Here is a 25,307-nt window from a genome sequence, read left to right on the forward strand (position 1 = left end):
ATGATCCAGGAGAGAATTAACTAAGGGCCTGGCACCCGTTCAGGTCTGATAAGAGCTCTGAAGCCGCTACCTGGAGGCTTCATCTGCGTGATAAATCCTGCTCTCCACAATCCCCCATCTTAACCCATACATTCCCTTCTATTGATTCCAGGTCTTTGGATAATAACTCTTTCAGCCAGTTGCCGATCCACCTATGACCTGGAAGCCTCCTCCTCTTTGAGTTGCCCTGCCTTTCTGGACTGAACCAATGTACACCTTCCATGTATTGATTGATGTCTTATGTCTCCCTAAAACTCAAAAACAAGCTGCAGCCCGATCACCCTGGGGATCTCCTGGGGCTGTGTCATGGGCCCTTGGTCCTTATATGTGGCACAGAATAAATTTATTCAAATATTTTATGGAGTTTTTCATGGAGAAGAATGAGGGGTCCTTGAGGAACATTGGCTGCGTGTTCCCAGGTTTGCTGGCTGTTCTGATGAGCAGCACTGGAAGAGCCAGAAAGCCCCAGGGACCCCACCCACACCCCAGTGCCTCTCTGGGCTCCAACCCGCTGACCCAGGGGCCACCGCCAGCACCATCTCTGCCTGCTCTTGCATGCGGGAGGCACAGTCCAGGGCTGCTGCCCTCCACCTTGAGCTTAGCAGCCACCTCCCCTCCTGTGGCCAGCATGAGGCTCCCAGGGAGCCTGAGCCCCAGTGTCCATGGCCACAGCTGCCTTAGCCCTCCCTGTTCAGATGGCTCATGACCCTGCCCGGCCCATAGCCTGCCCTCCCGCCATGTGCCCTGGCACAGAAACAGACAAAGACCATCCAAAGGAGCCTAGGGGCTCAAGGCATGCAGCAGTGGGAGGCAGCACCACCAGGCGGGACCTGCATGCAGGCAGGGGTGGGAAAGCCTCATAGAGGAAAGAGGGGGCTTCAGAGGTGCCCCAGTGAGGGTGGCTATTGGGCAAGCAGGAAGGGCTGCTAGAAGTGGGGTAGCCCCTGTGACTGGTCAGCGGAGCATGTCTGGCTTTCTTCTCTGGCTGATCCTCAGTTGAAGAAGGATGAGGGAAACTGGCAGTTACTGGCCAAGCCTGTGGGCAGTAGTGGTCTGGCTTCCTGGGCTGGTGCTACAGGCTACGGGTCCGAGTTCTCCCGTCCTGCGTGCTCTGGCGGTCACCTATTAGTATATTTCATCTCTCTCTGGGGTGCCCGCCCAGAGGCACTGCCTGTGCTGCAACCTGTGTCTCAGGGTCTGTTCTGGGGGACTTAGCACAAGATCCTCCCTGGGGAATGAGGATGAAGGCTACCTGGGGAATGAGGATGAAGGCTACCTGGGGAATGACGATGAAGGCTACCTGGGGAATGAGGATGAAGGCTACCTGGGGAATGAGGATGAAGGCTACCTGGGGAATGAAGATGAAGGCTACCTGGGGAATGACGATGAAGGCTACCTGGGAATGAGGATGAAGGCTACCTGGGAATGAGGATGAAGGCTACCTGGGGAATGAGGATGAAGGCTACCTGGCTGTAACTGGTCTGAGCTGCAGGGCACGCCCCGGAGCCCTTACCAGCCCCCTACTGTGGCAGGCCAGGTCCCACTAACACAGGCCTCCATAACAACTGTTTCAGCTCTGACTGAGTGGTTAAGTTAAATACTAAAAGCCGAGAGAGCCAGTCCCCTTATACAGAGGCTGGAATGTAACAAAAGCCCACCAAGAGTTTTGCCTAGGCCTTTCCTGGGCCTTGAAGCATGACAAAATAACAAAAGAATTCTTAACAGAATCTATTTAGGATTAAACAAGTTTTACTGGGGGTTCTGAAGAAACTCCCCAGTCCTCCACAAACAAGTTTACTGGGGTCTGAAAGAACTCCCCAAACCTCCATGATTTAGCAGGAGACAAGATAAGGGTAATCACCCCAGCACCTGGACCCAGCTAGATTTAGTCAATTTACTGAGGCTACAAAGGAAGGTCTTCAGGACTCAGACCTCAGTTATAGATTAGAAGAAGTTAATCACTTATGTCTTTAGATGATTGCACACTTACACATAGACATATAGCTTAGAAGGTGTATAAGCTCTGGAAAACTTTGTAATTTTGAGTTGGTCTGGTGATATTTTCCAGGCCTTCTCCCTATACCCGGTTACAGAAATAAAAACTTTCTTCCTCCCCAGTTCATCTGCATCTTGTTAATGGGCTGCCAGAAATAGCAGCCCAACCCTCAGTTAGGTCTGGGAACACTACCCCCCAACACACACACACACACAAAGGGCCAGACGGGTCCGGCCGGAGCTCCCCGGCAGCACAGGGGGCTGCTTCTTCCTCCTTCCTGATAAGCCCTGCAGCCCCCAGCGATGCCCCTCCTAACCCTGGAACCTGTGACTGTGTGCCTTGAGACAGGAGATTGGCTTGGATCATCCAGGTGGAGCCTAAATCTTATCATGTGAGTTCTCAAAAGTGAGGAACCTTTCCCAGCTTTGGTCAGAAAGACATGAAGAGGGTAGAGGGTCAGAGAGCTGCCTCCCTCAGCCATTGCCAGCCCCCAGGGTTCCCCTGAGGCCCCAGTGCCAGCAGCTCCCTGCCCTGCACCTTCCCCTCCCATCCTCAGGCCTCAGCTCCCTGCCCTGCTCCTTCCCCACCCGTCCTCAGGCCTCAGCTCCCTGCCCTGCGCCTCCCCTGTCCTCAGGTCTCGGCCTCTCCCAAGGCTTTCCCAGATTTCCAGGTCCCGTCCTTGGGGGAGAGGCTACTAGTTCTAGGCTATGAAACCATCTGAGGGCTGTAGCTGGAGGTGCTCTCAGCAGGGCAGGGTGGGGTCGTCTTAGGGTGGACACGGAGTCCAGATCCACAGACAGCCCTCGGTTCTCTCAGTGCCAGGAAACAGGTCACATGTCCATCTGCAGGGTGAGCCACTGGACATGTGGCCCTGCTGATGACTGCAGAACCAACTTCTTCCCTTGGAGCAAACCGTTCTGGGGTCAGGAAACTCCAAGAAGTGACCAGAGACCCATGGGGGACCACATGATGTCTGATGGGCAGCAGAACCCCCCAGACCCTGCTCCAGCCACAGTGAGCTGCCTCAGTGCCCTAACAAGGAGCACCCCATGCCACAGGCCACACCTCTGCTCACGCTGTCCCTCTGCTTTCACCCCTCTTTCCCTTCCAAGAAAACTCTTACACCAGCATCACAATCCAACTTAAATACCCCTTCTACGGAGACTGTGTGTCCCACTTGTTACATGTGAGCACCCAGTGGTCAAAGGAGAAGGCGCTCTGAGCAGGAGCCTGGGAGACGCGGGTGGTGGGAACCCGGGCTGCGATGGGCCTGCACAGATGTCCTGCCATGAGCCACAGCAGCCCTTACAAAGGGCGTGACTTTGTGGTAAGTGGCTCTTTTCTGCCAAGGGCAACTCCAGAGAGGCAGCTGGGGGGTGAGCATCTGAGTCCTGCTGTGGGGCCTGAGTGGTGCACCGAGTCCACCAAGCAGCCTCAGGTCAAGTGAGCAACTCCATCCCCAGCTCCCTGCAGATTCTGCAGACAGGTTCATCCCTGTCTAAGCGATGTCTGTCCTCCCCTCCAGGGGTGAGCCTTTTGGATCCAGCCTGGGCCTCAGTCAACACTTAGGCAGGCACCGAGAGCTCTGCAGACAGATCTGCTATCTCCCGACTCCCACCTGGAGTTCAAGGGAGAAACCACTGCAGCCTTCAAAACCCCCAGTAGGAGCTTAATGCCAGCAGCCAGCCCTGATAAACTCTCCAATGAGCCCACTGGCCAGGGCCAGAATGCAGACCCCACACTGCTGAGTGTGACATCAGGGCCCCTGAGAGCGCTTCGTGCGTGCAAGCCATGAGGGGCCAAGGCGCAAAGGGCAATAGGAGTGCTGTCCTGCCGATACCAGGTGCTTCCCTTGCTGGTGACCAAGCCCGAACCCACAGGCTGGCCATGGTGGTCAGGCTGGCCCCCCAGGGCTCCAAGCTGTGAGCTCCCCAACTCCACAAGACAGAAGCCCACATAAAGAGCCAGCCACTTCAACCTTCTATAAAGTTCTCCAGGCTACCGAAAGGTAGGCTGACAGATTTCACAGATAAAGACACAGGATGCTCAGTTAAATTTGAATTTCAGATCATGAATGATTTTTAGTATAAGCGCATCCTATGCAATATATAGGACATATTTATGCTAAATATTTTTGTGTTGTTTATCTGAAATTCAAACTTAGTCTTTCTACTGGCCACTGTAGGTAGCAGGGAAGCCACACAAGACCTGAAAGTCATCCCTGGGTGAACACCACAGTGCTGGGCACAGCAAGGCAGGTTCATCTGCCTCCAAGGACCAACCCCACCTTTGCCTGCTCAGAACTGACCATGCATAACCCCTGTCATCAGCTCTAACCTTCAATCCTGTCTTCCATCACCTGGGAAAGGCTCTCAGTTCTTCCAGTAAATATCATTTCCAGGCTCTCCAACCCTCCCCCGTTCCTGATGATCTGGCCACTGGCAACTTGCACCCCTGATACTGACCCAGCCACAGAGCTGCTTCTCATCTGTGTCAGTTACAGTCCCTCCATGCTGAAAGCAAAACCGGAAAACTCAACTGGAATCATCTTAAACAGTAAGGGGATTTATGGGAACTCCTACCTGGAAAATCTAGTGGTAAGTGAGTTTCAGGGTGGGCTCGATCTAGGGGTTTGTCATGACTGAGTCTCTACAATTCTCCCCCTTCCAGCTTCTCCTGAGCCTGGCTGCCCCTGTGTACCAAAAAGGCTGTCAGCAGCTTAGGGGCTACACACAGCTTCATACATATCCATGGGAGGGAAAGTGGGACAGAGAGAGGGGTAGATACTTTTCTCCCACAATGATAGAACATAAGTCTTTCACAAGACGCTGACTGAGCCACCTTCCATCCCTGCCCACCTCTAAAGCAACTGAACCAAAGTGGGCCAAGAAGAATCGCTGCATGAGCTGGAATGGGCCGGCCCCTCCTGCACCGGGCACTGCAGGACCACAGTCTCCACTGCCCCAGCTGTGCCCAGCATTGCGGGAAGCAGGCGGCCCCTGCGCAGGTTCATGAAGCTCACTTACTGCTAGATTCTCCAGGTAGGAGTTTCAGAAATCCCTTTACTGTTTAAAACCATTCCAGTTGGGTTCTCCAGTTTTGGTTGGCTTTGTTTTTCAGCATGGAGGAGCTGCAGCTGACACAGGTGAGCAGCAGCTCTGTGGCTGGGTCAGTATCAGGGGTGAGAGTTGCCAGTGGCCAGCAAGTGGGGAATGGTGAGGGCTAGAGAGGCTGGAAATGGCATTTCTCCGAAGAACCGAGAGCCCTCCTGGGAGGCTTAGACTTTAATTCTCTCTGGACACACTTGAGCAGATGACGTTCCAAAGGTGCCACACCAGTACGTCCCTCCCATCTGCTTTCTGGTGATAGGACCTGACACTGTCCCACCAAGAGGTGGGGTCTGCTTGGTTTCCCATCTCTTGAATCTGAGCGGGTCTGCAATTCTGGCAAAAGTGATACTAGGTGACTTTCGAGGCTAAGTCATAAAAAAGGATGACTTCCACTTGCTGCTCCAGGGAACTCTCATGCTCAGAGCCCGGCCACCAGGCTGTGAGGAAGCCCAGGTGGCCACCAGGCAGGCCACGTGGAGGCGTTCCCACCCCAGCCCACCGAGATCCAGCCAGCAGCCAGCGCCACTCCAGATATGTGAAGGAAGAGCCTTCCATGATGCCAGGCCCCACCCTCGGATCCCCCAGCTAGCATCCCAGACCTGGTGGCCACAGGCCCCCACCACGTGGTCCCGATCCCTGGCCTCAGAAGGTCTGAGAATGATGGAAGGGATGGTGGCTCCAGGACTAAGCTTTGCAGTGACCCGTGCAGCTAAGTTAAGTGGAACCCTCCAACCCCCAAACGCCGAGATTCTCCACGCCAGAGGCCCGGTGGGTGGGTGAGGGGCCTGCCAAGCCTGGGAGATTTATTTGCAGGATTTTCCCCACGGACTCATAACTGAAATCGCAGAAGGCCTTGCGGTTTAGAGGCCCTGTCTCATGCCCCAAATTGCATTTTCCCGGAAAGGGCTCAGGGCGACTGAGGTCCCCACCGCCGCTGCGGAGCAGGCTAGGGACTGGGGCAGGTCCCGGCACAGGGGAGGGGGGCGGGGGCGCTGCCAAGGTCTCACAGCTGAAGAGGGAAGCCAGCCGGGGCCTACGGAAAGCTGGAAAATGCGCTCAGGCCGGGCCGTGCTCATGGCTGGGATCACAGCGCCACCCTGTGGCCGACGCTCTCCTTCGGCTCGCAACAGTCTGGAGAAATTGAATTGCATTCTTCATGGAGAAACACAGACCGAAAAAGATCTTCCAGCCCAGCAGCAAGAAAACCACCACTGACTTTTAGAAGTCGAGTGCAAACAGAACAGAAAGGTAGTGAACGCCACCTCCCCCTGACTCCTCTCTTTCTCTGGAAATCTGCCCCAGGAGGTTTTGTGTTTCTTTCATACATTGTTTTTGCACAGAAAAAGTCTCTCTCATGCACACATGAGACTCCTGAGACCACCTCACTCCTGCCCTGCACACTTTGTGCACACTCCTGGATCAGCGATGCCCTTCTGTCTCCTGGCACACGCAGGCCACAGCCAGAGGCCACCCCCACCCCACTGGCAAGTTGGCGTCTGCAGGCAGAGTTCACGGGTCACTCAATCCCAGGCCTGGGCCCAGCAGGGGCCTGAGTGGTCCTTGCCCACAAGGCGGACAGCCTTGAGGACCCAGGAGCCAGGACCATGCTGCCGGGGCCTGATCCCCAGCCTTGCGTAACTTCTGGCAACTTCTTGCTCTCTGCATGCCCGTTTCCTTGTCTGTAAAATGATAGGATTCAATGAAGACACAGCTGGTTCAAGAGATCTGTTGTACAACGTGGTGACTCTAGTTAGTGACAGTGTACACCTGCTTGAACATTGCTACATAGGATCTTAAGTGTTCTTATGGAATGAGACCACCACTTCTCCTGTTGTCCTTCCCAGCTTCCCCACCTCCCCTTTTCCCTAGTTTATAAGACAGTAGAAAAGGGAGAAAGCAAAAAGTTGGAAAGAAACAGAAGTAAGATAAATAGCTAGACGACCTTGGCGCCGCCACCTGGCCCTGGTGGTTAAAACAATAATAATAATATTAACCCCTGACCAAAACTACTGGTGTTATCTGTAAATTCCAGACATTGTATGAGAAAGCACTGCAAAACTTTTTGTTCTGTTAGCTGATGTATGTAGCCCCTAGTCACGTTCCTCACACTTACTTGATCTATCATGACCCTTTCACGTGGACCCCTTAGAGTTGTAAGCCCTTAAAAGGGCTAGGAATTTCTTTTTCGGGGAGCTCAGCTCTTAAGACTTGAGTCTGCCGATGCTACCAGCCGAATAAAAACCTCTTCCTTCTCTTCCTTCTTTAATCCGGGTCTGAGGAGTTTTGTCTGCGGCTCATCCTGCTACATTTCTTGGTTCCCTGACCGGGAAGCGAGGTGATTACTGGATGGTCGAGTCAGCCCCTTAGGCAGCTTAGGCCTGCCCTGTGGAGCATCCCTGCGGGGGACTCCGGCCAGCTCGAGCGACGTGGATCCTGAGAGCGTTCCCGGGTAGGCACTTGCCCCTGTGGAACGCCTCATCAGAGCAGTGTATGGCAGGCCCCCATGGAGGATCAACGCAGTGGCTGAACACCAGGAAGGAACTGGCACTTTAAGTCTGGACATCTGAAACTTGGTAAGACTGGTCTTTGGAACTTGCCCCACTCCATTTGAGTGGAAGCGTGGCCTGATCACCCATGGTGTGCCTGTACTGGCATTTTGGTTTTTGTTTTTGACTTGACTTGAATTGCTTGATACTTTGGTTTTGGTTTTGACCTGGCTTGGATTTCTGGATGCTCTGATTTTGGTTTTGATTCTGTTTGGTGTAAACTGAAAAAGTGTGTTTGTGCCCTTTTAACCCGTTCTTTGTTCTGTGGTGTGCGTGGTATGAGCTTGGTGTTTTGTCTCGAGGAAACATGGGTCAGACACAAAGTAAGCTCACTCCACTAGGAACTATGTTGAAAAATTTTAAGAAGGGATTTAATGGACACTATGGGGTTACTATGACATCAGAGAAACTTAGAACTTTGTGTGAAATAGATTGGCCAACATTAGAAGTAGGTTGGCCATCAGAAGGAAGCCTGGACAGATCCCTTGTTTCTAAGGTATGGCACATGGTAACTGGTAAGTCAGGACACTCAGACCAGTTCCCGTACATAGACACTTGGTTACAGCTGGTGCTAGACCCCCCACAGTGGCTAAAAGGGCAGGCAGCAGCAGTGCTAGTAGCAAAGGGACAGATAGCCAAGGAAGGATCCCGCTCCACCTGCCAAGGGAAATCAACTCCCGAAGTTCTGTTCAACCCAACATCAGAAGATCCATTGCAGGAGATGGCACCAGTGATCCCAGTGGTGCCCTCCCCTTACCAGAGAAAGAGGCTCCCCACTCTTGAGCCCACAGTGCTTGCACCTCCACAAAACAAACATATCCTTAGGCCACCCAGAGTAAACAAGAGAGGAGTTGAAGCCTCCGGAGAAACTCCTCCCTTGGCAGCTCATTTAAGACCCAAAACTGGGATACAAATGCTCCTGAGAGAGCAGCAGTATACTGGGATAGATGAGGATGGTCATGTTGTGGAGAGGCATGTTTTTGCATACCAGCCCTTCACCTCTGCCGACCTTCTCAACTGGAAAAACAATACCCCGTCCTATACTGAAAAGCCACAAGCTCTAACTGATTTGCTCCAAACTATTATCCAGACCCATAACCCCACTTGGGCTGATTGCCACCAGCTGCTCATGTTCCTCTTTAACACAGATGTAAGGTGGAGAGTGCTCCAAGCAGCAACTAAGTGGCTAGAGGAACGTGCACTGGCTGATTACCAAAATCCCCAAGAGTATGTAAGGACCCAGTTACCAGGAACCGAACCCCAGTGGGACCCAAATGAAAGAGAGGATATGCAAAGGCTAAACTGATACAGGGAAGCTCTCTTGGAAGGATTAAAGAGGGGATCCCAGAAGGCCACAAATGTTAACAAGGTCTCTGAGGTCATTCAGGGAAAAGAAGAAAGTCCAGCACAATTCTACGAGAGATTGTGTGAGGCCTATCGTATGCATACTCCCTTTGATCCTGATAGCCCTGAAAATCAGTGCATGATTAACATGGCTTTAGTTAGTCAAAGCACTGAAGACATTAGAAGAAAACTGCAGAAACAGGATGGGTTTGCAAGGATGAATACATCACAGTTATTAGAAGTAGCTAACCAGGTGTTTGTAAACAGGGATGCAGTAAGCTGTAAGGAAAATTGCAAAGAGAATGAACGTCAGGCCCGGCGAAACACCGACCTGTTTGTTAGCTGCAGCAATCAGAGGGGTACCCCCAAAGAGGCAAGGGAAGGGGAGCCCTGGGAAAGAAACTCAGCCTTGAGAAACAGCTCCAGTCTACAGCTCCCAGCGTGAGCGATGCAGAAGATGGGTGATTTCTGCATTTCCATCTGAGGTACCGGGTTCATCTCACTAGGGAGTGCCAGACAGTGGGAGCAGGACAGTGGGTGCAGCACACTCTGCGAGAGCCAAAGCAAGGTGAGGCACTGCCTCACTCGGGAAGTGCAAGGGGTCAGGGAGTTCCCTTTCCTAGTCAGAGAAAGGGGTGACAGACGGCACCTGGAAAATCGGGTCACTCCCACCCTAATACTGCACTTTTCCAACAGGCTTAAAAAAATGGCACACCAGGAGATTATATCCCGCACATGGCTCGGAGGGTCCTATGCCTGCGGAGTCTCACTGATTGCTAGCACAGCAGTCTGAGATCAAACTGCAAGGTGGTAGCAAGGCTGGGGGAGGGGCGCTTGCCATTGCCCAGGCTTGATTAGGTAAACAAAGCAGCTGGGAAGCTCGAACTGGGTGGAGCCCAACACAGCTCAAGGAGGCCTTCCTGCCTCTGTAGGCTCCACCTCTGGGGGGCAGGGCACAGACATACAAAAAGACAGCAGTAATCTCTGCAGACTTAAATGTCCCTGTCTGACAGCTTTGAAGAGAGCAGTGGTTCTCCCAGCATGAAGCTGGAGATATGAGAACGGGCAGACTGCCTCCTCAAGTGGGTCCCTGACCCCCGACCCCCAAGCAGCCTAACTGGGAAGCACCCCCCAGTAGGGGCAGACTGACACCTCACACGGCCGGGTACTCCTCTGAGACAAAACTTCCAGAGGAACGATCAGGCAGCAGCATTTGCAGTTCACCAATATCCGCTGTTCTACAGCCACCACTGTTCTGCAGCCACCGCTGCTGATACCCAGGCAAACAGGGTCTGGAGTGGAACTCTAGCAAACTCTAGCAGACCTGCAGCTGAGGGTCCTGTCTGTTAGAAGGAAAACTAACAAACAGAAAGGACATCCACACCAAAAACCCATCTGTACATCACCATCATCAAAGACAAAAGTAGATAAAACCACAAAGATGGGGAAAAAACAGAGCAGAAAAACTGGAAACTCTAAAAAGCAGAGCGCCTCTCCTCCTCCAAAGGAACACAGCTCCTCACCAGCAATGGAACAAAGCTGGATGGAGAATGACTTTGACGAGATGAGAGAAGAAGGCTTCAGACGATCAAACTACTCTGACCTACAGGAGGAAATTCAAACCAATGGCAAAGAAGTTAAAAACTTTGAAAAAAAATAGACGAATGGATATCTAGAATAACCAATGCAGAGAAGTCCTTAAAGGAGCTGATGGAGCTGAAAGCAAAGGCTCGAGAACTACATGAAGAATGCAGAAGCCTCAGGAGCTGATGGAATCAACTGGAAGAAAGGGTATCAGTGATGGAAGATGAAATGAATGAAATGAAGTGAGAAGGAAAGTTTAGAGAAAAAAGAATAAAAAGAAACAAACAACACCTCCAAGAAATATGGGACTATGTGAAAAGACCAAATCTACGTCTGATTGCTGTACCTGAAAGTGACGGGGAGAATGAAAACAAGTTGGAAAACACTCTCCAGGATATTATCCAGGAGAACTTCCCCAGTCTAGCAAGGCAGGCCAACATTCAGATTCAGGAAATACAGAGAATGCCACAAAGATACTCCTCAAGAAGAGCAACTCCAAGACACATAATTGTCAGATTCACCAAAGTTGAAATGAAGGAAAAAATGTTAAGGGCAGCCAGAGAGAAAGGTCGGGTTACCCAAAAAGGGAAGCCCATGAGACTAACAGTGGATCTCTTGGCAGAAACTCTACAAGCCAGAAGAGAGTGGGGGCCAATATTCAACGTTCTTAAGGAAAAGAATTTTTAACCCAGAATTTTATATCCAGCCAAACTAAGCTTCGTAAGTGAAGGAGAAATAAAATCCTTTACAGAAAAGCAAATGTTGAGAGATTTTGTCACCACCAGGCCTGCCCTAAAAGAGCTCCTGAAGGAAGCACTAAACATGGAAAGGAACAACCGGTACCAGCCACTGCAAAAACATGCCAAAATATAAAGACCATCAAGGCTAGGAAGAAACCGCATCAACTAACAAGCAAAATAACCAGCTAACATCATAATGACAGGATCAAATTCACACATAACAATACTAACTTTAAATGTAAATGGGCTAAATGTTCCAATTAAAAGACACAGACTGGCAAATTGGATAAAGAGTCAAGACCCATCAGTGTGCTGTATTCAGGAAACCCATCTCATGTGCAGAGACACACATAGGCTCAAAATAAAGGGATGGAAGAAGATCTACCAAGTAAATGGAAAACAAAAAAAGGCAGGGGTTGCAATCCTAGTCTCTGATAAAACAGACTTTAAACCAACAAAGATCAAAAGAGACAAAGGAGGCCATTACATAATGGTAAAGGGATCAATTCAACAAGAAGAGCTAACTATCCTAAATATATATGCACTCAATACAGGAGCACCCAGATTCATAAAGCAAGTTCTAAGTGACCTACAAAGAGACTTAGACTCCCACACAATAATAATGGGAGACTTTAACACCCCATTGTCAACATTAGACAGATCAACAAGACAGAAAGTTAACAAGGATACCCAGGAATTGAACTCAGCTCTGCACCAAGCAGACCTAATAGACATCTACAGAACTCTCCACCCCAAATCAACAGAATATACATTTTTTTCAGCACCACACCACACCTATTCCAAAATTGACCACATACTTGGAAGTAAAGCACTCCTCAGCAAATGTAAAAGAACAGAAATTATAACAAACTGTCTCTCAGACCACAGTGCAATCAAGCTAGAACTCAGGATTAAGAAACTCACTCAAAACTGCTCAACTACATGGAAACTGAACAACCTGCTCCTGAATGACTACTGGGTACATAACAAAATGAAGGCAGAAATAAAGATGTTCTTTGAAACCAACGAGAACAAAGACACAACATACCAGAATCTCTGGGACACATTCAAAGCAGTGTGTAGAGGGAAATTTATAGCACTAAATGCCCACAAGAGAAAGCAGGAAAGATCCAAAATTGACACCCTTACATCACAATTAAAAGAACTAGCAAAGCAAGAGCAAACACATTCAAAAGCTAGCAGAAGGCAAGAAATAACTAAAATCAGAGCAGAACTGAAAGAAATAGAGACACAAAAAACCCTTCAAAAAATTAATGAATCCAGGAGTTGGTTTTTTGAAAAGATCAACAAAATTGATTGACCGCTAGCAAGACTAATAAAGAAGAAAAGAGAGAAGAAGAAGAAGAAAAAAAAGAAGAAAAGAGAAGAATCAAATAGACGCAATAAAAAGTGATAAAGGGGATATCACCACTGATCCCACAGAAATACAAACTACCATCAGAGAACACTACAAACACCTCTATGCAAATAAACTAGAAAATGTAGAAGAAATGGATAAATTCCTTGACACTTACACCCTCCCAAGACTAAACCAGGAGGAAGTTGAATCTCTGAATAGACCAATAACAGGCTCTGAAATTGTGGCAATAATCAATAGCTTACCAACCAAAAACAGTCCAGGACCAGATGGATTCACAGCCAAATTCTACCAGAGGTACAAGGAGGAGCTGGTACCATTCCCCCTGAAAATATTCCAATCAATAGAAAAAGAGGGAATCCTCCCTAACTCATTTTATGAGGCCAACATCATCCTGATACCAAAGCCTGGCAGAGACACAACCAAAAAAGAGAATTTTAGACCAATATCCTTGATGAACATTGATGCAAAAGCCCTCAATAAAATACTGGCAAACAGAATCCAGCAGCACATCAAAAAGCTTATCCACCATGATCAAGTGGGCTTCATCCCTGGGATGCAAGTCTGGTTCAACATATGCAAATCAATAAATGTAATCCAGCATATAAACAGAACCAAAGATAAAAACCACATGATTATCTCAACAGATGCAGAAAAGGCCTTTGACAAAATTCAACAACCTTCATGCTAAAAACTCTCAATACATTAGGTATTGATGGGACATATCTCAAAATAATAAGAGCTATCTATGACAAACCCACAGCCAATATCATACTGAATGGGCAAAAACTGGAAGCATTCCCTTTGAAAACTGGCACAAGAGAGGGATGCCCTCTCTCACCACTCCTATTCAACATAGTGTTGGAAGTTCTGGCCAGGGCAATTAAGCAGGAGAGGGAAATAAAGGGTATTCAATTAGGAAAAGAGGAAGTCAAATTGTCCCTGTTTGCAGATGACGTGACTGTATATCTAGAAAACCCCATTGTCTCAGACCAAAATCTCCTTAAGCTGATAAGCAACTTCAGCAAAGTCTCAGGATACAAAATCAATGTGCAAAAATCACAAACATTCTTATACACCAATAACAGACAAAAAGAGAGCCAAATCATGAGTGAACTCCCATTCACAATTGCTTCAAAGAGAATAAAATACCTAGGAATCCAACTTACAAGAGATGTGAAGGACCTCTTCAAGGAGAACTACAAACCACTCCTCAAGGAAATAAAAGAGGATACAAACAAATGGAAGAACATTCCATGCTCATGGGTAGGAAGAATGAATATCGTGAAAATGGCCATACTGCCCAAGGAAATTTATAGATTCAATGCCATCCCCATGAAGCTAGCAATGACTTTCTTCACAGAATTGGAAAAAATTACTTTAGAGTTCATATTGAACCAGAAAAGAGCCCACATCACCAAGTCAATCCTAAGCCAAAAGAACAAAGCTGGAGGCATCACGCTACCTGACTTCAAACTATACTACGAGGCTACAGTAACCAAAACAGCATGGTACTGGTACCAAAACAGAGATATAGATCAATGGAACAGAACGGAGCCCTCAGAAATAATGCCGCATATCTACAACCATCTGATCTTTGACAAACCTGAGAAAAACAAGCAATGGGGAAACGATTCCCTATTTAATAAATGGTGCTGGGAAAACTGGCTAGCCATATGTAGAAGGCTGAAACTGGATCCCTTCCTTACATCTTATACAAAAATTAATTCAAGATGGATTAAAGACTTAAATTTTAGACCAAAAACCATAAAAACCCTAGAAGAAAACCTGGGCAATACCATTCAGGACATAGGCATGGGCAAGGACTTCATGTCTAAAACACCAAAAGCCATGGCAACAGAAGCCAAAATTGACAAATGGGATGTAATTAAACTAAAGAGCTTCTGGACAGCAAAAGAAACTACCATCAGAGTGAAAAGGCAACCTACAAAATGGGAGAAAATTTTCACAACCTACTCATCTGACAAAGGGCTAATATCCAGAATCTACAATGAACTCAAACAAATTTACAGGAAAAAAACAAACAACCCCATCAAAAAGTGGGCAAAGGATATGAACAGACACTTCTCAAAAGAAGACATTTATGCAGCCAAAAAACACGTGGAAAAAACGCTCATCATCACTGGCCATCAGAGAAATGCAAATCAAATCCACAATGAGATACCATCTCACACCAGTTAGAATGGCAATCATTAAAAAGTCAGGAAACAATAGGTGCTGGAGAGGATGTGGAGAAATAGGAACACTTTTACACTGTTGGTGGGACTGTAAACTAGTTCAACCATTGTGGATATCAGTGTGGCGATTCCTCAGGGATCTAGAACTAGAAATACCATTTGACCCAGCCATGCCATTACTAGGTATATACCCAAAGGATTATAAATCATGCTGCTATAAAGACACATGCACACGTATGTTTATTGCGGCACTATTCACAATAGCAAAGACTTGGAACCAACCCAAATGTCCAACAATGATAGACTGGATTAAGAAAATGTGGCACATATACACCATGGAATACTATGCAGCCATAAAAAATGATGAGCTCATGTCCTTTGTAGGGACATGGATGAAACTGGAAACCATCATTCTCAGCAAACTATCACAAGGACAAAAAAAACAAACATCTCATGTTCTCACTCATAGGTGGGAATTGAACAATGAGAACACATGGACACAGGAAGGGGAACATCACACTCCGGGGACTGTTGTGGGGTGGGGGGAGGGGGGAGGGATAGTATTAGGAGATATGCCTAATGCTAAATGATGAGTTAATGGGTGCAGCACACCAACATGCCACATGTATACATATGTAACAAACCTGCACATTGTGCACATGTACCCTAAAACTTAAAGTATAATAATAATAAAATAAAATAAAAAGTTATTTTCAGTAATTAAAAAAAAAAAAAAGAAACTCAGCCTGGCTATCAGAGCTTGCAGTGTAACCAGTGTGCTTATTGTAAAGAAATAGGACATTGGAAGAACAAATGCCCTCAGCTAAAAGGAAAACAAGGTGACTCAGAGCAGCAGGCCCCAGACAAGGAGGATGGGGCCCTGCTCAACCTGGCAGAAGGGTTACTGGAATGAGGGGGACTGGGCTCAAGGGCCCCCAAAAAGCCTGTGGTCAGGATGAAAGTTGGGGGTAAAGACATTGATTTTCTTTTAGATACCGGTGCTGAACATTCTGTAGTAACCACCCCGGTCGCCCCCTTATCCAAAAAGACTCAACATAATTGGAGCCATGGGGGTTTCAGCAAAGCAAGCTTTCTGCTTGCCCCGGACTTGTACTGCAGGAGGACATAAAGTGATTCATCAGTTTTTGTACATGCCTGACTGTCCCTTGCCCTTGTTGGGAAGGGACTTGCTTAGCAAGCTGAGAGCCACTGTCTCTTTTACAGAGCATGGCTCTTTGCTGCTAAAGTTACCCAGAACGGGAGTTATTATGACCCTTACGGTCCCCCGAGAGGAGGAATGGAGACTTTTCTTAATGAGCCAGGCCAAGTGGTGGCCAAGAGTGTGGGCAGAAGACAACCCTCCAGGGTTGGCAGTCAACCAAGCCCCCGTACTTATAGAAGTTAAGCCTGGGGCCCAGCCAGTTAGGCAAAAACAGTACCCGGTCCCCAGAGAAGCTCTTGAAGGTATCCAGGTCCATCAAGCGCCTAAGAACCTTTGGAATTATGGCTCCTTGTCAATCTCCATGGAACACTCCCCTCCTGCCTGTTCCCAAGCCTGGGACCAAGGACTAAAGGCCGGTACAGGATTTGCACTTGGTTAATCAAGCTACAGTGACTTTACATCTAACAGTACCTAACCCGTACACATTGTTGGGGTTGCTGCCAGCTGAGGACAGCTGGCTCACCTGCTTGGACCTTTCTTTAGCATCAGATTAGCCCCTGAGAGCCAGAAACTGTTTGCCTTTCAGTGGGAAGATCCAGAGTCAGGTGTTACTACTCAGTACACTTGGACCCAGCTTCCCCGAGGGTTCAAGAACTCCCCCACCATCTTGGGGGAGGAGACCTCCAGAAGTTTCCCACCAGAGACCTAGGCTGCATGTTGCTCCAGTACATTGATGACTTTCTGCTGGGACACCCCACGGCAGTCGGGTGGGCCAAGGGAACAGATGCCCTACTCTGGCACCTGGAGGACTGTGGGTATAAAGTGTCCAAGAAAAAAGCTCAGATCTGCCGACAGCAGGTACGTTACTTGGGATTTACTATCTGACAGGGGGAGCGCAGCCTGGGATCAGAAAGAAAGCAGGTCATTTGCAATCTACCAGAGCCTAAGACCAGAAGGCAGGTGAGAGAATTCTTAGGAGCTGTGGGGTTTTGCAGACTGTGGATCCCAAACTTTGCAGTATTAGCCAAGCCTTTGTATGAGGTCACAAAGTGGGGGGAACAGGAACTTTTTGAATGGGAATCCCGACAACAACAAGCCTTTCATAAGTTAAAGGAAAAACTTATGTCAGCCCCAGCCCTGGGGCTACCCGATCTGACAAAGCCTTTTACATTGTATGTGTCAGAGAGAGAAAAGATGGCAGTTGGAGTTTTAACCCAAACTGTGGGGCCCTGGCCGAGGCCGGTGGCCTACCTCTCTAAACAACTACATGGGGTTTCTAAAGAATGGCCCCCATGTTTGAGGGCCTTGGCAGCAACTGCCCTGCTAGTACAAGAAGCAGATAAGCTGACTCTTGGGCAAAACCTGAACATAAAGGCTCCCCATGCTGTGGTGACATTAATGAATACTAAAGGACATCATTGGCTAACGAATGTTAGACTCACCAAGTACCAAAGTTTGCTCTGTGAAAATCCCTGTATAACCATTAAAGTTTGTAACACCCTGAACCCTGCTACCTTGATCCCAGTATCAGAGAGCCCTGTCAAGCATGACTGTGTAGAAGTGTTGGACTCAGTCTACTCTAGCAGATCTGACCTCTGAGACCGGCCTTGGGCATCAGTAGACTGGGAACTATACGTGGATGGGAGCAGCTTCATCAACCCACAAGGAGAGAGATGTGCAGGGTATGCTATGGTAACCCTGGACACTGTTATTGAAGACAGATCATTGCCCCAGGGCACTTCAGCCTAGAGAGCTGAACTCATTGCTTTAATTTGGGCCCTAGAACTCAGTGAAGGTAAGACTGTAAACATTTACACTGACTCTCGGTATGCCTTTTTAACCCTTCAAGTGCATGGAGCGTTATATAAAGAAAAGGGCCTATTGAACTCTGGGGGAAAGGACATAAAATATCAACAAGAAATTTTGCAATTATTAGAAGCAGCATGGAAACCCCACAAGGTGGCAGTTATGCATTGCAGAGGACACCAGCGAGCTTCCATCTTGGTGGGTTTGGGGAATTCCTGCGCTGACTCAGAGGCTCGAAAAGCAGCATCTGCCCCCTTCCAGGCATCAGTCACAGACCCCCTGCTCCCTCAAGCACTTGATCTTGTAGCTACTTATTCGGGAGAATAGCTCTGCCACAGCTGCTAGGAGCCGCAATTGTACTGGTTTTGCATGAAACCACCCATCTAGGTCAGGAGTCACTTGAAAAGTTGTTAGGCCGGTATTTCTACATCTCATATTTGTCAACCCTTGCCAAAACAGTGACGCAGCAGTGTGTTACCTGCCGACAGCATAATGTGAGGCAAGGTCTAGCTGTTCCCCCCCGGCATACAAGCTTATAGAGCAGCCTCCTTTGAAGATCTCCAGGTGGACTTCACAGAGATGCCAAAGTGTGGAGGTAACAAGTATTTACTAGTTCTTTTGTGTACCTACTGTGGGTGGGTGGAGGCTTATCCAACACTAACTGAGAAAGCTCGTGAAGTAACCTGTGTGCTTCTTCGAGATCTTATTCCTAGATTTGGACTGCCCTTACGGATCAGCTCAGATAATGGGCTAACGTTTGTGGCTGACTTGGTACAGAAGATAGCAAAGGTATTGGGGATCATTTGGAAACTGCATGCCGCCTACCGGCCTCAGAGTTCCAGAAAGGCAGAGCAGATGAATCAGACTATCAAAAATAGTTTAGGGAAAGTATGTCAGGAAACAGGATTAAAATGGATACATGCTCTCTATAGTATTATTTAAAATTAGATGTACCCCTTCTAAAAGAACAGGATATTCCCCTTAGGAAATATTATATCATGGGACCCTTCCCATATTGCAGGGACTTCCAGGCACTTCCTGAGAGTTAGGTGAAATTGAGTTACAGCGACAGCTACAGGCTTTAGGAAAAATTACACAAACAATCTCAGCCTGGGTAAATGAGAGACCCTGTTAGCTTATTCTCCCCAGTTCACCTTTTCTCCCCAGGTGTTCGAGTGTGGATCAAGGACTGGAACGTAGCCTCTTTGTGCCCATGGTGGAAAGGACCCCAGACTGTCGTCCTGATCACTCCCACTGCTGTGAACGTAGAGAGAATCCTAGCCTGGATCCATCACAACCGTGTAAAACCTGCAGCGCCTGAATCCTGGGAGGCAAGACCAAGTCTGGACAACCCCTGCAGAGTGACCCTGAAGAAGATGACAAGCCCTGCTCCAGTCACACCCAGAAGCTGACTGGTCCACGCACAGCCGAAGCATGAGGAAGCTCATTGTGGGCTTCATTTTTCTTAAATTTTGGACTTACAGTAAGGGCTTCAACTGTTCTTACTCAAACTGGGGACTATTCCCAGTGTATTCATCAGGTCAGTGAGGTAGGACAGCAAATGAAAACAATCTTTCTGTTCTATAGTTATTATCAATGTATGGGAACGTTAAAAGAGACTTGTTTGTATAATGCCACTCAGTACAAGGTATGTAGCCCAGGAAATGACTGACCTGATGTGTGTTATAACCCATCTGAGCCCCCTACAACCACCAGTTTTGAAATAAGATTAAGAACTGGCCTTTTCCTAGGTGATACAAGTGAAATAATAACTAGAACAGAAGAAAAAGGAATCCCCAAACAAGTAACTTTAAGATTTGACGCTTGTGCAGCCATTAATAGTAACAAGCTAGGAACAGGATGTGGTTCTCTTAACTGGGAAAGGAGCTACAGAGTAGAAAATAAATATGTTTGTCATGAGTCAGGGGTTTGTGAAAATTGTGCCTTTTGGCCATGTGTTATTTAGGCTACTTGGAAAAAGAACAAAAAGGACTTGGTTCATCTTCAGAAAGGGGAAGCCAACCCCTCCTGTGCTGCCAGTCACTGTAACCCACTAGAACTAATAATTACCAATCCCCTAGATCCCCATTGGAAAAAGGGAGAATGTGTAACCCTGGGGATCAAAGGGACAGGGTTAAACCCCCAAGTTGCCATTTTAGTTCAAGGGGAGGTCCACAAGCACTCTCCCAAACCAGTGTTTCAAACCTTTTATGAGGAGTTAAATCTGCCAGCACCAGAACTTCTGAAAAAGATAAAAAATTTGTTTCTCCAATTAGCAGAAAATGTAGCTCATTCCCTTAATGTTACTTCTTGTTATATATGCGGGGGAACCACTATCAGAGACCGATGGCCTTGGGAAGCCTGAGAGTTGGTGCCCACTGATCCAGCTCCTGATATAATGGGGGCTTGTCCAGGATCTCATCAGGACTGGATGGCTCTCGCTGGACTATACTGGATATGTGGGCAGAGAGCCTACATTCAGTTACCTAATGAATGGGCAGACAGTTGTGTTATTGGCACTATTAAGCCATCCTTTTTCTTATTACCGATAAAAACTACTGGTACTATCTGTAAATTCCAGACATTGTATGAGAAAGCACTGTAAAACTTTTTGTTCTGTTAGCTGATATATGTAGCCTCCAGTCACATTCCTCATGCTTACTTGATCTATCATGACCCTTTCACGTGGACCCCTTAGAGTTGTAAGCCCTTAAAAGGGCTAGGAATTTCTTTTTGGGGGAGCTTGGCTCTTAAGACATGAGTCTGCCAATGCTACCGGCCAAATAAAAACCTCTTCCTTCTTTAATCCAGTGTCTCAAGAGTTTTGTCTGCAGCTCATCCTGCTACATTCTCTTCATCAATAAGGATGTATGGTAGTGTAGATGTTCATTGGCTTGATTTAGCCATTCCACAGTGCAGACAGACATACTTGCAAAACTTCATGCTATACACCATATGTGTTCAATATGTATTTGTCAATTAAAATAAATTTTGTTAAAGAGAAAAGGGAAGAAAGTCATACAGTGTTAAGGAGGTGCCTGGTGCCTCGTAGTACTATAAACACCTTCCTCTCATCATTATTATTTCTAGCATTGTAATTAATGATATTATGTTACCCTGTGGCCCCCTGGTGCCCTTGGTGGAGGCTGTAGTTTTGGAGGCCACAAGTCAACTCAGGTCCCTGCCCTTCTCACAGGGTGGCACGGCAGGGCCACTGGGACAGGACAGCCCCACCATGAGCACTGCATGATTCCATCAACCCACACCCACATGGCACAAATGCCTCCCTGCAGGAGCCCGGCCCTCCCAGCCTCTCCTGGGAGCCCAGTCCCAGCACTCTGGGTCAACCACGACCTCCCTCCCAGTGGGGGCTCTGATGGCCACACCCTGCTGTCCCTGCAGCCCTGCAGCTGGGTGTGGTGAGGACTGCATGCTGAGGTCCATGCTGATGTCAGCACCAGCTGCAAGGACAGAGGGTCCCCTTCCCAGAACTGAGCACACTTGCTTCAGATGACCGCTCGCAAGGACCCCAACTCACAACCCACCAAGCCGTGTTCTGGCCCCCACACTCATCCTTGCCTCTGCAGAAACAACAGACACTCAGGGAGTCACAGGTCAGACCTGCAGGCCTTCCCTTCAGAAAAGGGGTAGCCTCCAGCGGTGCCCTAGGCTTGCAGTTCCAGAATGTTCTCAAGTCACCAGATGGATGCATTTGCAAGCAGACAGCTATGCAGATGGTCAGACCATGGCCTGAGCTGTCAGAAAGGGCAGGGAGTAAATGAGCCTCACTGCCCTGAACCTCAGTTTTCTCATGTGTAAAGTGGGGACACTCACATGCACCTGAAAGGGTCATGATGAAATGAATGGAACCAATGTGAGAACGCACACAGGAGGCCATCAGTACATGTCAACTACTCTGAGGATCTCCATCCACTCAGCCACCTCCACGTTTGCTGCCTCCAGCTGCAGCTCTTGGGGTGGCTCTGGGTGTCAGTATAGGTGAGTCGACCCTGGGAACGCAGGTGCAGGGCCACACAGCCGGCTGCTTTGACATGTCTTTCAGGAAACATGGCTTTTCACAATCAAGACTATAACAGCTGCTGCTTTTTGAGTGCTGTGTGGGGACTGCTCTAAGTGCCCCAGGGCACTGTCTCATTTACCCTCACAGGGCTTCCAGCATTGGCCATTTCACCCCCATATGTCTTCAGATGAGATGGAGGCCAAGGCTGGCTTCACAGGTGCGGCACTCCCCACAGCCCCACAGAACCTGGCTGGGGCCCTTCGTGCAGGGCAGAGTCCGAGGTTCAGAAGGCCTGTGTGCCACCTGCAGTCACAGAGGCAGCTGAGCTGGGGCCAAACTCAGGGTCCCCGACAACCAGGCCCATGCCCACCCAACAGGCCTGACTGCCCTCAGCCTCTAGCACCCCCAGCCAGGGTCAACAGCATGGGACCCGCCCTGACAGGAATCCTGTCTTGACTAGGCCCAGGAATGCTGTGTCACATCAGGCCTTCCTTCCCATGCACCCTCAAAACCCCACGGTGGGCAGCTGCAGGACAGATCCGCAACTCCCTTCAGAGTTCTAGGCATTGCCCTGTTCTTCATTTCTGTGGCTCCCCACCTGTCCCATGCAAAGGCCCTCAAACCCAAGCCCCAGATGGCACCAGAGATGCTCTGAGCAGAGGCAGTTCCATCTGCCTTTGTAAGTGAATATGAGCATCTGCACACTATACATGCTTCTAAAGGCTCTGAGAAGTCCTGCATCAAGAGACTGCTTGGTTTTCTTTACCTCCACATTCCTCATGTGTTTTTGTGCAAGAGAACGTATGGGTACACACACCTGACATCTGAGAGTTTGGAAGCCCCATTCCTGCTATAAGGATAACAGAAAACCACCTAGCTGTCAGGGAGCTCAAACTGAGCCATGCCCCATCACTCCTCTCCACCTCACACGAAGCCTAAGAGATGAACAGTCAAACCTCTCCTTTATCCCTTCTTTTGTTTGGGTTTGTTTTGTAACAGACAGGGAAACTAGAGTATGGGGAAGTCCAGCGAGCCCCCTGCATCCCACAGCCGGCACCCAGGAGACCCCTGAGGCCTCCCAGGAACATGTCATTCCATGGGTCAAGGAGGGTGGCAGGGTTCCCAGTGCAGAGAAGGGCTGGGCACCACTTCTCCTTCCTGAACTTTCTGAAGGCCAGAAGGACACCACCATGGCTGGGCATGTGGCATAGGGATCAGTGCCTGGGAGAAGGGGCCCCACTGGCCCCACAGCCCTTGGAGGTTGCAGAGGGATTATAATGATTCTCATTGTCATCATTATCAGTATCATATGGATCTCGATGCTTTTTAAATATCTGTGTATTTTAATCCCCTGTAGTTATTATTCTTATTGATGCTAACTTGTCCCTTCCCTGGGCTGGTGGGAGCCTCTTCAGCTTGGCTCCCATGCCTTTGACATGGCCCTGACAGGCTTTGAGGGTTTCCCTGCTCTCTGGAAGGGGAGATGTTTCTGGCTTATCTTGTACATTTCCTGCCCTGGCCTGGAATCAGCCATTTCTCCAACAGCCTTAGTCCTTAGTGAGAAACCACTTTTGGGGTGCTCACTGCCACCTGGTTGGTCACTTTTTGTGGCCTCTTCAGTGCAGAGTTAGCGAGGGTTTGTAGTAAACTTTAGTAAGTGTGGCAACAGGCTCTGTGGTGGCTCCATGGTCCCAGCCCTGTGCTGTCCCTCCCCTTCAGTGTGGGTGGGACCTGTGACTCACTTCCAGCCACTGGAATATGGCAAAAGTGATGGGAGGTCACATCCATGTTAATGGCATGTGAGACTGTAACCCATTTTTCCAAGATGCAATCTCTCCTGTGCCAGCTTTCAGGAAGCCAGTGGCACTGTCAGGAAGGCCCACATGGCTAGGAGCTCAAGGCGGCCTCCAGCCAACAGCCAGTAAGGAGGTGAAACTGACTATCTCAAGGAACTGACAGCTGAAAGCCCTTCACCTGAGAAGCAGCCCCTTCCACAGTTGAGCCTCTGATGAGACTGCAGCCCCTGCCCGCCCTACATTGCAGCCCCAGTCACATTGCCCTGCTCCAGCTCTGGCCAGCTTGGTGAGACTCAGAGCACCCATCTCAGCCAGGCCAGACTCCAGGCCCACAGAAACCATGAGACAGAAGAGTATGTTGTTTGAGCTGTGAAGTTCGTTGTCATTGCTGCAGTAGATGACTAATACCAATAACAGCCCACTTCATTAGATTCTCCTTACAGGTTGCAGAATTGATCCACAATCATAGTAACAAGGCAAGTGACCCTGAAGGCAGGGCCTATCCAGGGCATCTACACAGCAATGCCATCTGTACTGAGATGGGACCTATCTAGTAAAATACAATGGGATTGAACTCTGTGCTGAGCTGTAGGAGATGGGGTACAGGACAGTGGGGGAAACCCAGCAGCCAGCTTCCCAGGGGTCCAGGCCACCCACACTCCACCTCCCTCTTCTTCACCCCAAGGCCAGGCAGGGAAGGGCTCCCAGGAGACACACAGGGGAGGAGAACAGAAGACAGCCTGTGACTGTTGGAATCCCTCCAATTACACAGACAGTCCTTCCTGCCCACCTGAGTGAGAGCAAGGAGGCTCCCTGCAGCATGGGCCAGCCTTAGAAGTCCTGGCTCCACAGAGCCTGGGGGCTTCACAGCCAGTGAAAGATGCATCAGTGGGCGTGGCACACCCATGGGGGAGAAGCACATGCCTGTAGCCTTGGCTTTGCTGTGCCCACGTCTATAGGCCACCCCTTGTCCCTCCCACATTCACTCACAGCCCTCGGGACAACAGATCTTGTGCAGGAGCCCTGCCTTATGACCAGGGAATGGGCAAAGTTGAGTTCTCTGCAAGGTTAGATGACTGGCCAAGGTCAGCACTGGGCACACCATGGAGGCCAGAGGACATCATGCGTTACAGGAAGGAGAGGATGGGGAGCAACAACACAGGTTAAATCAAAGCTTCTCAAACCTTGGAGGCCAAAACTTCTCCTGGAGGGTTTGTGACGACAGACCCTGGGCCCCACCCTTGGGGAGTCGAATCCAGCAGGTCTGGGATAGGGCTGAGAATGTGCATTTCCACCAGGTTCCCAGGGACGCTGGTTCTGCTGGCCCAGGGGCCACATTTTAAGTAGCAAGGGGCTAAAGGATGGGTGAGTGAATGAATGGATGAATGAAGAAATGAAGGACTGACACTCAGCACGGAGCCCATCACCCCTGCAGCAGGTCAGTGGTGCCTTGGATGAGAAATAGTGCACTTAACACATACAACCACACATGGACACAGAGAGATACACGCAGACATGCACACATCCACACATGTGCAGTTTCACACACATGTTCACTCACATGCAGAGACATATATACAGAGCCTT

General features: G+C 48.9%; 1 long non-coding RNA gene across 2 annotated transcripts, besides 3 other annotated features; it reads left to right on the forward strand.

Annotated features, from left to right (window-relative positions):
- Window positions 5,889–5,958: an enhancer, noted in NCBI's record as "active region_17651". NCBI's record gives its function as "activates an Ori minimal core promoter by ATAC-STARR-seq in GM12878 lymphoblastoid cells {active_cell/tissue: GM12878}" and the evidence as "EXISTENCE:reporter gene assay evidence [ECO:0000049][PMID:35858748]".
- Window positions 6,109–6,168: a silencer, noted in NCBI's record as "silent region_12737". NCBI's record gives its function as "represses an Ori minimal core promoter by ATAC-STARR-seq in GM12878 lymphoblastoid cells {active_cell/tissue: GM12878}" and the evidence as "EXISTENCE:reporter gene assay evidence [ECO:0000049][PMID:35858748]".
- Window positions 6,225–6,858: an enhancer, noted in NCBI's record as "H3K4me1 hESC enhancer chr20:24899137-24899770 (GRCh37/hg19 assembly coordinates)". NCBI's record gives its function as "activates a minimal SCP1, AML or CMV promoter by ChIP-STARR-seq in naive H9 embryonic stem cells {active_cell/tissue: H9 hESC(naive)}" and the evidence as "EXISTENCE:reporter gene assay evidence [ECO:0000049][PMID:30033119]".
- LINC02967 (long intergenic non-protein coding RNA 2967) lies at window positions 6,288–20,709 on the forward strand. 2 transcript variants are annotated; one of them, XR_001754563.2, is made up of 3 exons: window positions 6,288–7,718; window positions 18,363–18,498; window positions 19,071–20,709. It is a non-coding gene; the product is annotated as a long intergenic non-protein coding RNA 2967 (long non-coding RNA). The 2 variants fall into 2 exon arrangements; XR_937399.3 differs by lacking the exon at window positions 6,288–7,718 and adding an exon at window positions 16,941–16,955.
- Window positions 20,710–25,307: the final 4,598 nt, after the last annotated feature.

This window comes from Homo sapiens, chromosome 20, assembly GCF_000001405.40.
Source record: "Homo sapiens chromosome 20, GRCh38.p14 Primary Assembly".
NCBI lineage: Eukaryota > Metazoa > Chordata > Mammalia > Primates > Hominidae > Homo > Homo sapiens.